The 12,202-nt window shown below is 50.1% G+C and overlaps 1 protein-coding gene across 30 annotated transcripts in view; it reads right to left on the bottom strand.

Moving 5' to 3' along the window:
• DIP2A (disco interacting protein 2 homolog A) overlaps window positions 1-12,202 on the bottom strand; it is a 124,981-nt gene that overhangs the window by 37,309 nt on the left and 75,470 nt on the right. For 29 of the 30 annotated variants that reach the window (XR_007067786.1, XR_007067785.1, XR_007067784.1 and 26 more), the window contains 8 exons: window positions 11,876-11,978; window positions 9,275-9,339; window positions 9,024-9,117; window positions 7,961-8,080; window positions 6,572-6,686; window positions 4,668-4,807; window positions 1,290-1,426; window positions 602-682 (listed from right to left, as the gene is read on the bottom strand). Coding sequence is in view for 27 of the 30 variants with exons in the window: in NM_001353943.2 (NP_001340872.1) it covers window positions 602-682; window positions 1,290-1,426; window positions 4,668-4,807; window positions 6,572-6,686; window positions 7,961-8,080; window positions 9,024-9,117; window positions 9,275-9,339; window positions 11,876-11,978 (855 nt within the window). In the remaining 3 variants the exon portion in view is untranslated. Of the gene's footprint in view, window positions 1-256; window positions 683-1,289; window positions 1,427-4,667; window positions 4,808-6,571; window positions 6,687-7,960; window positions 8,081-9,023; window positions 9,118-9,274; window positions 9,340-11,875; window positions 11,979-12,202 lie in introns of those variants that run through there. The other variant, NM_206891.3, reaches the window with a different exon arrangement.

Here is a 12,202-nt window from a genome sequence, read left to right as displayed (position 1 = left end):
AAAACTGCTGAGCTAAGGGCAGGGGTCCCAAACCCGGCACCAGGGACCTTCTGGGCTGACAATACCATCGCAGGTGCTGTCCTGTGCTTAGGTTGGACACTGAGCAGCATCTCTGGCCTCTAGGTACTCACTAGATGCCAGGAGCACTCCCCTCCCTTGAGTTGTGACAAGCAAAAATGTCTTCAAAAGTTGCCAGAAGTCCCCTGGGAGGGAAGGGGCAAAATTGCCCAGTTGAGAGAAACACTGGGCCAAGATGTTACAAATAGAAGCATTTATTTTTGAATAGTTTAGACATCCAAAATGGTAAAGAATGATATAATGAATACTCACAAACCTGCCACTCCATATAAAAAGCAAAACATCCTCATCCACCCCGGGGACCCCCGACTCAGGCCTGTGTGCAGGACTGTGCACCAGTCTCGGAGGTGTGGATGGCCCTGCACACAGGTAGGGTGATGGGCAGGGAGGTCAGCGCCACCGACCAAGGCCACATGGGAGGTCAGGAACGGCCAGGACAAGGGTGGGGCTGCAACGAGGTGTCCCTTAGCCACACCCCCTACCTTCTCTGACTGCCAGTGCTGGTACAGGAGGACATACTCACAGGCCCGATGAAGCCCAGCAGGCCTGTCCTGGTGAATGGCCTGTCAAAGATGGGTGCTCCTCCTGTGGTGACCGGAACTGCCTGCACAAAGTGGAGAGGGGCACGATCAGGCTGTGGACAACCAACCAACTGGCCAAAAAGACCCAGCAGGCGGCAGGAGGCTCAGCACCACGTGTGCGCCTGCTGGCCAGGGGGAAAAAGGAGGCTGGCCCTGCATAGGCCCAGTTTCTGTGGCCTGGCTGCTCAATCTCCTGGGCAGGCCTCCTGAGGCAGGAAACAAGCATCCCTTTTACCTCTGCTCTGGGTGCCTGGCCTCCCTAGACTTGTCCTGAACAACTCACATCACAACAATGCAAATATAGCAGAGGGCTGGTTTCCCTGGGGCCACGGTGAGTGCCTTCCTATTGGCCACCAGGCCGCACCCACACACCCTCCTCCCATGCAGGACTGTGGGAAGCACGCTGACTCCCAGCCCTCCACAGCATGCCTGGTCCTGGTACTGGCCTTGCCCTCACTCTGGGAGGACACACAGGGGTGTGCAGGCCATGTGCCAACAGCCCCAGCAGCGCCTGTGTGGAAGGAGACCATCCCCGCAGCCTCTGCAATCCCCCAGCACCCAGCACACCTGGGACCCCATGAGTGCTCATGCAACTTAACTTCAACATGAAAGTCAGGAAAAGGGACAAACCTCAAACACATTCTTCGTGATTCCAAGCAATCCATAGTACGCTGTGCCAGTTGCACTGGAACTGACGCATATTTCTCCCACTTCATCAGTTTTACAAAGATAAGGGGTACCTTCTAACTTCACAACACATACATTAGCTAAAATGAGAAAAAAAACTCAAAATTATCAAGAACGTGTTTAAATGGATCACTCACAAAGATCTCCTTGCTGCTGTATGTGCGGTTATGGAAACAGGATGTTATATACACAGCACCTTCTTATAAGGAGTTTTATGACACAGATGATACACATGCTACCTAGCTGTAAGTCTTTATATTTTATATGTAATATTTTTTATAATCAATGTAAGGTGACCAGAAAGTACAACACATCCTTCATGTAATAAGCCCCGGCTGACAAAATATTTCCTGTACTACGATAAATAAACCCTGTGCCTCCTCTTGTCATACTGCCCTCTCGGGTCCACATGGGGTGCTGCTGGCCCTGGCTCCTGACCATCACCACCACACACGAGCCCGGGACACCATCTCCTGCTCCAGAGCCTGACAGAACTCTGCCCATGCCTGCCCCCTTTCTAGTAACCTTATTTTAAATGCAAATCTGCCATGTGACTCCAGACTAATCTTAAGTCAAGGAGTGCCTCTAGGATATCTTCATGGAGAAATACCTGTTCATTTTAAGTTCTGCCTAACTTCCAAAACAACCTTGATGCTGCTGCACACACTACAGGCTATGAGGCCCAGGGCACTCCCTCAGCCATGTGCACATTCTTTCCAGAGCGCAGATGTTTTTCCCCAAGACAAAGGCCCTGGGTCTGGAGGGTTGCGGTGCAGAGATCTACCTGTCTTGCAGCCACTCAAGACCAGGATTCTATCTGTAAGTTCCCCAATGAACCACCCTCTACTGACAAACGACCTGTCTGCCTCGTTCTTCAATTTCTCGGCCTTTCCGCATTTGGGGGCCAATTTGTACATGTGCGCCTTTTCATGGAGCACGATGTCTCAGGCCTCAGTGTGACTCCTCCCACAGCCCCATCACCCAGTTCTGTTTTTACTTAAGTGCACCCTACCCAACTCTCGGTGACCTGCTGCCTTCGCCTCCCACAAGGGATCTCATCTGCCTAGTCCTCAGCTCTGCCACAGAAAGGCCTCCAGAAACAGCCTCACACAAAAGCATGAGATGCACAAATGAATGGGCTGTGGTCCATTAAATGAAACTTGGTTACTTAGCAATCAATTAACCCATTGGGTCAGCTAGGAACTGTCCTTCTGTGCCTCTTCTTGAGTTTTTTTCTAATATATTCTCATCTCCAAAGACAGTAAAAAGAAAGAGAGAGACAACCAGATATTTGCTTCCTTTTGCCACAAATCAGATAAAAGACTTTGCAGAGAGAATGCAGCCATGCTTGGCTGATGTGGAAGGTGGTGCTTGGCTGATGTGGAAGGTGGTGCTTGTCTGTGCTTCCAGGTGGCCATCCAGGCAGCCATCAGTGCCACACAACACTTACAAGCACATGCAGAGATGGGGCAAGGTCACGAAAAGCCACAAAGCACCACATACACACTTGATACAGTAGTGAACACAGGCCTACACAGGGCAGACTGAAAAACTGCTGCAAACAAATCACCCGTAGGATTCACCATGGGGCTCAGTCCCACAACAAGGGGTACAGCCCGGGGGCTGTGGAGGGTCATGGGAAACAGGGGTCCACCTGGGGGAGTGCCTGGGGGAGCGCTTTGCACGCGCGCCTGGCAGAGGGGGAGCGCTGCATGCACACACCTGGGGGAGGGGGGTGCGCTGCATGCACGTCTGGTGGAGCGCTGTGTGCACGCCCGGGGGAGGAGGTGTGCTGCGTGCACGCCTACGGGAGCGCTGTGCACGCATGTCCTGTCCTAATCCACATTTTACAAATAAAACGCGCACAACTACAGATGTTCCTAAGATTCATTCAGAATCATGACCTCATCATGATTTTCCAGGGAAGTTTAAACACTTACCTGTATTTTCCCCATGAGTAAATAAGTGACACCCCAATGATTGCTGTCTGTGAAAATGTTTTACGACAGGTTCAAGCACCGTGCAAGACTGACTGTTCTATTTCTCAGGAGAATTATTTTACGACAGGTTCAAGCACCGTGCAAGACTGACTGTTCTATTTCTCAGTAGAATTACAGGAAAAAAATGATGCCATTTGTATGAGTAACAAGTAGAGCTAGAAACACAGGCTGAAATACTTCAGTCTTATTCAATGAGGACCCAGCATCTGTGCACACACAGGGATCAGGCACCAGCTGGCCCCAGGCTCCAGGTTAGAGATGGCTGGGCTGCCAGCACCACCCACAGACAGGGTCTGCACCTGAGCAGCCACAGCCGGTTAGCACAGCCGCCTGCAAGAGGCAGAGTTGCAGGCACAAGGGCCAGGACGCTGAGCCTCTCGCAGTGCCTGCAACCCCTAACACAGTCAGGGCCGCATTGGAAGGGGGGAGACTGCACTGACAGATGGGGTCCTGCCTCTAGAAGTCACCAAAAGGGGCCCTGACAGCTGCCCGTGAACCCCAGAAGGGCCATCACAGGGAGGCAGGAAAGCTGAAGTAGCTGTGGGGTGGCTACAAGGAGGGCAGCCTCAGACCACGTGGCAGTGTCCCCACTCGAATGTCACCAGGGCCTCCCAGGCCAGATTCTGCCTCAGGCCAGCAAGGAAAACCTCCAACATCTAACATGACGGTCAGGCCTACAGAGCCAACTTCTGCAGAAGAGTTCACATAGGCCTTTCTGACATCGAGGAATTTCTGGGAAGCTTCCATGAGGCTTCTATCTAACACATGCTTGCTAGAACTTACTTAGATAACCTAATTATCAAGTTATTCACAAACATTACCATTTTCCTCAGAGCTGCCCACTTCACATGGTTGCCATGGGGTTAAATGCTTCAACACATATGAAGTATGAAGCCTGTGCCTGGAACACAGTGAGCTATTATCACCGTCTTCCCAAATATCAAAGAACTGTAAGTGAGTTGCATAGGCCATATACACATCTTTATATTTTAGCTCATCTTTAAACTTAGCACAAAGGGAGGGAAAAAACTGAGCAAATATTTTACAAAGTAAAATTCCAATTTACACTGAAAAACATTCTTGAGAAATCTTTTACTTGTATGCTTGCTTCTAGAGCACTACTATGAAGCCTGGAGTATTTATAAGAGGCTGAGGCAGGAGAATCGCTTGAACCTGGGAGGCGGAGGATGCAGTGAGCCAAGATCACACCACTGCACTCCAGCCTGGTGACAAAGCAAGACTCCGTCTCAAAACAAAACAAAACCCTTTTCGTTACCTCAATCAGTCATGGACAAAGACCCACTCTGGTTATGTCTCTTACCTCCAGGCATCACCTGACCAACGTCCTGAACAGTAAGGACTGACAACTTTTCTTCAGTATCCACTCTGATAACACCATAACTTAGACCGTTCATCGACAGGACTGCTTTTCTTGGAGGTGGTCCTCCCAGATCAGGTGGCCTAGAAAATAAAACCACCATGGGTTTAACTGACGAGGGGGATGAAATTCCAGGGAGGTGGGCCCACCTTGCCTGCAGCATGATTCTGCACCAAAGCCACTGCTCCATGTTACAGACTTGTGAGAAACGCATGTTCTAAAGATGCTGCAATGTCTCCAAACTACATGCCCCTCTGCAATGTGACGTCGACACTCCACTCAGTGGGAAAAGGGCCTGTGACTACAGTGGTTGTGATGCTGTGTGACTTCCAATGCAGGCCAGTAACGTCAATTCAGCTTCTACCCGATTGTCTTGGGACACTCGCCTGGAGCCCTGTGAAGCCCGGCAAACAGAAGGACGGTGTTGAGGCCACTGCACTGCAAGGAAGCCCAGAGCAGCTCACTCTGAGAGACCAGGTGGGGGCCTGAGATGTACACACACAAAGCTGTCTCAGCCCCTCACCGCTCCCTCCAAACACCATCTCCTGCAAGCCAGAACCACCTGGCAGAGGCCTTCCTAAGCTCCTGGCCCACAGAAAGCATGAGAGACAATAAAATGACTGTTGTTGTTTGTGATACAACAATAGTAACTGGAATACTGAGCAACAGGCGTTTCCTCCAATATGAAAAAAATTACACAGTTGTGCAAAACAAATCACCATAGAACAAAAGAATGAAGAATAATTTATAGTTTGTAGACGACAATAGCGTTTTTTTAATGTTAAGTGATTAAATAGGGTAACTTTTTTTTTTTTTTTTTTTTGACACAGAGTTTCACTCTTGTTGCCCAGGCTGGAGTGCAATGGCATGATCTTGGCTCATTGCAACCTCCACCTCCTGGGTTCAAGCGATTCGCCTGCCTCAGCCTCCCGAGTAGCTGGGACTATAGGCACCTGCCACCACGCCTGGCTAATTTTTTGTATTTTCAGTAGAGATGGGGTTTCACTATGTTGGCCAGGCCGGTCTCGAACTCCTAACCTAAGGTGATCCACCTGCCTCGGCCTCCCAAAGTGCTGGGATTACAGGCATGAGCCACCGTGCCCAGCCAAGTTAGGGTTACTTTTAAAAACTTAGGGTTAGTTCCATATATGGAAACACATACCATTTATGAATATATGACTATAATACAAGATTACAATTGAGGCTAAGACACCTCAGCTGTGAGCACACTGAGTTCTACCCACAGGATGGAGCTGGGAGTGGGGCAGGTGAGAAGAGGGGAAAGGAAACCTCAGGAGGGGAGTGAGGAGCACAGGAAGGACCAGCAGCCCCGCACCCACACACAAGGACACTCAGGGCAGTCTGCAGGCTCAACATGCCCTCTAGGCTGAGAAACATGACATGAGGGAAACCGCCACAGGAGCAGCACAGGCCTCCCGGGAGGTGGGTGGCCGGGCACTAAGCACCAGGCCGGGTGCTTCTCCAGGCAGGTCAGTGGTTCCCACAGACTCCACGGCTGACCGACACCTGCCTCAGAGTAAGAAAGAGTTCCTAGGTTGTAATGTTTACCACAGCTACAGACGAGATGACAAGGCCTTTCTAATTTGGGAAGCACTCAGGAAAATCGCAAGCCGGCATTCTGCAAGAATCCAGAGTATGGCCCAGGAAGTTCCTACCCAATTCTCCACACAAACCCAAGCCGGCAAAATGTGGGGGGCCAGGCACCAAGGTACTACTGCACAAATGGGCCTGGATCCTAACAGGCACAGGCACAGCTCCAGGATAACTCAGCTGTATGCAGAAGATTCAACTAAGTGCTCATGAGACATAGCAAGGAATAAGGTTACCTGCGGATGGCGACAGTCAGCGCCTCAGGAGAACTTGCACAAGGACAGATGACCTCTGGCCTCAGACCTCTGGACTGGAAGACGTTGAGGAAGGCGTCACAGGAGGAGATCGACCCTGCACAGAGCAACAAGAGTGGAACGCCAGCACTAACTGGGGGGCCAGCAGGGAAGGGGTGGCTGGACATGCTCAAGTTAGCGCAGCCTGCGGCCATCGGAACCACAGGGCTGCATCAGCAGAAGGAAGGGGCCCCTTCACAGGTACCCTCAGACTTCATGTTCTTCAAGGAAGATGGTATCTTTAAAGGAAATCAGACAGCCATGGATGGTCTGGTGCTCCAAAGGGCAGAAGGGGCATCACTAGGGACAGGAAGGTGCTGCATGTGGTGGGAGACAAGCTGCACGGCACTGCAAGGATCAGGTGCAGCAACAGGGGAGTGCCATGGGAAGAGGCACTGGAGAGGAGGTGCACACTCTGACTCCACCATGGGGACCACGGAGTGGCGGTGCGCCTGGGGTGGAGACGCAGAGACCTGAGCAGTGCTGCAGAACCCAGAAGCAGGCCCTGCCTGGCTCAGGTGTGGACCAAGAGAATGAGAGGCTCTGGGGGTGCTCAAAGGTGGGGTGACCTCCCAAGAGATGGGGTGTCGGCCACACTGGAGAGGGGATAAGATGAAACATCAGCTTCTGATGCAGGGTAGTCTCCAGTGCATAGACAATGATGCAGGTTAACAAACAAGAAAACCCCTAATACCTGGTCAACAGGTGTGTGCTGCAACAGGAGCCCCTGTGTGACCAGCATCACCTGAGGCTTCCCCAGAGGAGGTACTGAGTCAGACCCTGGACAGTCCTGGGCCCCAGAGCTCACGTGTGCAGCCTTGACAAAGCAGTTCCCATTCAGACCACCGTACGCAGGAGGCCCTACGTGGTCAGGCAGCAGCCATAGGGAGCTCCTCCTGGGAGGATGTGGGGGACACCCAGGCAAACCAGGAGGGAGAATGGTTGGGTCCTGGTGGGAGAAGTGAAGCCAGAAGCCAGAGACGTGGGGGCACCAGGACAAAGGGCAGGAGGGTGGGGATGAGGCCTAAAGAGAAACAGGAACCCCAGGCCACAGCACAATCTGGTAATTTCTTAAGAAAGATGACTCTCATTAAGGCATGTACCTTTCATCAAGCATATTAAAATTGCTTTTAAATTTAGTGGCCTAATAAACATGCATGGGATAAACCAGTGAATCACCAAGATGTTCCGTGTCATAGAAACGATGGGACATGTGTATCTATATGACAATGGCAGTGAAAATGCCTCCATTTTGCTTCTCAGTGTATTCTACTTTGGTTTGCAGGAGGGGACACTGTGTGGGGTATGCGCCGGGCACACAGGCTCACTCACACGGGTTGGCACCATCGGCCACAATCAGCATGCGCAGTGAGCTGAGGCTGACGTCCCTCTGGCCCCGCTGAGCTAGGAGAGACCAGTGCATGTCTCGCGACTTCACCAGCGCGGCCCGAGCTGCAGAGAGAGGATGGCACAGACATCCCTGCGTCACAAGGACTGGCACCCTCACACGCCTACAGACACGTGTACCTCATCCCACAGAGAGGTGTACATGCACAGACAGACACAACACTTAGCTCCCAGGTCACAAGCTCTCTGCAGCCGTCTCTCACATGCAGTCTAACAAACCCTCAAAGCTTTTTCCACAAAAATCAACTCTGAGGTACAATTTAGACATCAAAACCTCAGATCCATTTCCAACATTAATTTTTTCTTAGAAGCTCCATATTGCTCTTTTCCTATCTGCCCGCTTCATCTCATGTTGTCCTTCCCCAAACCCCTGGTGCTGGCTGAGAAGTGTGAGGACCCCAGAAGCTAAACAGATGGTCTCAGGCCTCAGTCTGGCCCCTGCACTGGCTAGCATGTGGAATCCAGCAATCCCCCCACCCCTACCCAAGCTTCAGTTTCCCTCCATAAAGTAGGACAGACAGAGAGAGCTGCCCCTCCACACTGCTCTGAGACATGTCTAGAGGGGCACAGCCCAGTAGGTAGAACAAGGCAACATGGGTGACCCAGGTGATCCAGTGCCTCAGTGGCTGGTAGAAGTGCCACTGAGCTCCACAGGGCAGAGACACAGACTGCCAACTGTGCAGGTGTGGCCATGCTGGGGCCTCCTGCTTGGTCCCAGGAGGCACCTCAACCGTTGAGAGAAGTAAGGCCCAGACCCCACCAAGTGGCCCTACTTACCACATCACCCACGAAACCCTGAGGGCCATGCCAGAGGCAGAGAAAGCCCCCATATTCCTGGGCAGGGGTGTGACCAAGAAAGACGTCCCACAGCTCTTCAGCCTACATCTGCAGTTCCACATGTCAGCTTTATTTTTTCTTAAGCACCAAAGGTCAGTTCAAAGAGATTTCCCTAAAGAAGGGTGAAGGCCCTGACCATGGTATCCGTTACCTTTATAGAAGCACACTTTCTGGATCCAGGAGAGTGGGTTCGCCTTCATCAGCGCGTAGGGGACGCTGACCACGTGCATCCTGTTCATGACGCTCTGTGGGGGAGCACACATGCTTAGGGCGAGTGGGCCCGAGCCACACCAGAAAAAGCAAAACAAAACCGATGTACTCTCCCAACAACATTTCAGGCAGAGGCTTGGGTTCATCTCAATCCCTTGTTCCAACAGTTAGTCATCAGCAAACAACACTCACTGTTAACACGCCATGCCACAGACCAGCATCCCTTTTGAAATCCAGCACGTTTGTTAATGTTTCAGCTGCAAGTGGACAAAGAAGGTGACACCACTGAGCAACCCTCTCAATAAGCCCTATGCATTTTCTAGAGAAATTCTGAGGTGAGTACGTCATCAACATGTAAGTTTCAGGAACAGATACAGCATTTCCAAATACCACATACCAATTAATAATAATCCTGGTTATCTATTCAAATTACTGGAAACACATAAAAGTAGAAGGTCATGGAACTAACACAGAGAACCACGCTGAGCACTAATCAGAAGGCACAGGAACATCACATACTGAAGAAGCTATACAAGGTGTCACCACAGCTTGTCTTTTCTTCTTTTTTTTTTTTTTTGAGACAGAGTCTTGCTCTGTTGCCCAGGCTAGAGTGCAATGGAGCAATCTCAGCTCACTGCAACCTCCGCCTCCCAGGTTCAAGCAATTCTCCTGTCTGAGCCTCCCGAGTAGCTGGGACTACAGGCATGCGCTGCCATGCCTGGCTAATTTTTGTATTTTTAGTAGAGAAGGGATTTCACCACGTTGGCCAGGCTGGTCTCAAACTCCTGACCTCAAGTGATCTGCCCGTCTCAGCCTCCCAAAGTGCTGGGATTACAGGTGTAAGTCACCGCACTCGGCCTCTCCACATCTTCTCATCAGATATTTTTGAGTGGGTATTCTTCTCAGAATCAAGAGGTGGGGATGAAAAACTGTCAGGGATATTCTTACTTCTCAACTCTACACCACATCTCCTCAATTCTCACACCCAGAGGCCGTGATCCGGCATCTCCCCTCTGTAAGAGCTGGTGGTTTGCATCACCCTTCGGAAAGTCACTCTTCCTCTGCCCGTTTTCTCACCCAGAGGTATGCAGCTAACACATCTTAGGAAGCTGGAGTGGATAGGGGTCCTGAGGGTTCCCAGCACAGCTCTCTGCTCAGAGCCCCTGGCCAAGTCTTCTCTAATATCCGGCTCCCACCTTGCACAGGCAGAAAGGACAGAGCCTGGGGCTGTGGGCAGACCTGGCTTCTCGCCAAAGGCCACAGCACTCCAAAGGCAAACAGGAGAGGTTTGATTTGTGTGCCAGGAAATGCTGTTGCACCATGAATAACAGTACTATAAACACCCTTTCTCTGTTGGTTAAGAACACAAATTATTATCATTATTATTTAGAGACGAGGTCTTATTACGTTGCCAGGCTGCAGTGCAGTGAATATTCATAGGCACAATCCCATTACTCATTGGCATGGGAGTTTTGACCTGCTCCCTTTCCTACTTGGGTCGGTTCACCCCTCCTTAGCAAGCTGGTGGTTCCCCACTCCTAGAAGGTCACCATGTTGCTGCCAAACTTCGTGCAGATACCTGGTTAGCACAGCCCACTACAGCCCAAAACTCCTGGGCTCAGGCGGTCCTCTTACCTCAGCTTCCCGAGTAGCTGGGACTATAGGCACACATCATCACGCCTGGCTAAAGAACCCAAATTGTAGGTGACATATGTAAGATCAGCTCTGAGCTGAAGACAAAGAAAGTCACGGGGCTTGATCTGAAAGATCTAACTTTTTTAATAAAGCCCTTAAAAAATACCTAAAATCACTTTCCAAATCTCAAGTAAAAGCTTTAGCTGTGCCCTCAACTTATACCCTTGCTTTTAAACACCTATATTTTTTTCTTTTTTAAAAATTCTATTTAAAATTTCTCCCTTTTTTTGTAGAGACAGGGTCTCACTATGTTGTCCAGGCTGCTCTCAAACTCTTGACCTCAAGTGTTCCTCCTGCTTTAGCCTACCAAAGTGGTGGGATTACTGGTATGAACCACTGCACCTGGCCTGAACACCTATATTTTAGATATTTAGACATACCATTCAATTTCACTCAGTAGTTTTGTTCAATTCTAGTATTACAATGTAAGAAAACTACTGAGTCCATTTTTACAGTTTTTAAAATTGTCACAGTGTACCCCATAAATATATACAATTAGTACTTATCAATTAAATAATATTAATTTAAAGATATCTCAAGTTAAGTATCTGACATTTGAAGTAAATCAGGTGCTGACTATACTTTATCAACAGATCATCTATAACCATAAAGATTCTACTTATATATTTATATCCATGACAGCTGAGGTCAAAACTACAGTCATAGATAAAGTAATAGAAAACTAAAAGTGTTTTCCTCTTTTTGAATGAAAAATGCCCTGACCCTCAGTATGTCACAGAGTAAGCCAGCCCCCCAGGGCAGGCCTGTGAACCCAGCACTGTGTATAAATCAATCAGTGGGATATAGGTTCCATGTTCCATAAAATCAACATCCATGTGCATTTACTGAAAACAACCCTGATGGGGTTGTCTGGACTCTGCTAAGAGACACCGTGTGCCCTCTTGGCCAGCACAACCACAGAGACCCTGTAAGCATGCTAAAGACAGTGCATCTCCCTACCTGGCATGACCCGGATTAATGGGCAAAGGCACTACCCAGGGGTGGTTTTGACAGGTGCAGTGACAGTCACATGATTAGGTACGTCAGGTATCTGTGTGAGGCTGGAGGGGCCACCGCCCCACCCCCGAGAGCCCTTACCTTCTGAGTACCCGCACGCCTGGGTCAGAGCCCGGCACTGTGCCAGCAGGGATGCGTGGGACACTGTGACCCCCACCGTACTGCCTTCTTTGCTGGTTTTATACTGAAAGATTTCAAGGAAAAAAACATGATGTGGTATTTCTAGAGGTGACAACAGACAGAATGGAAACTGGTAGAATCTTCAAAAGAAGAAGTGGTCAGTGTCTCTCCTCTAACCATCGGCCTCTAACCAGCAGCCCAGGTACATGGCAAAACCCTGGCCGCTGAGGGGATGCTTCAGTGGAAGTTGTGGCTCCTCTTGGGCAGGTGCCCGAGGGTAATGGTGCG

Source organism: Homo sapiens, chromosome 21 (assembly GCF_000001405.40).
Source record: "Homo sapiens chromosome 21, GRCh38.p14 Primary Assembly".
Taxonomy (NCBI): domain Eukaryota; kingdom Metazoa; phylum Chordata; class Mammalia; order Primates; family Hominidae; genus Homo; species Homo sapiens.
This window is presented reverse-complemented; position numbering and strand designations above follow the sequence as displayed.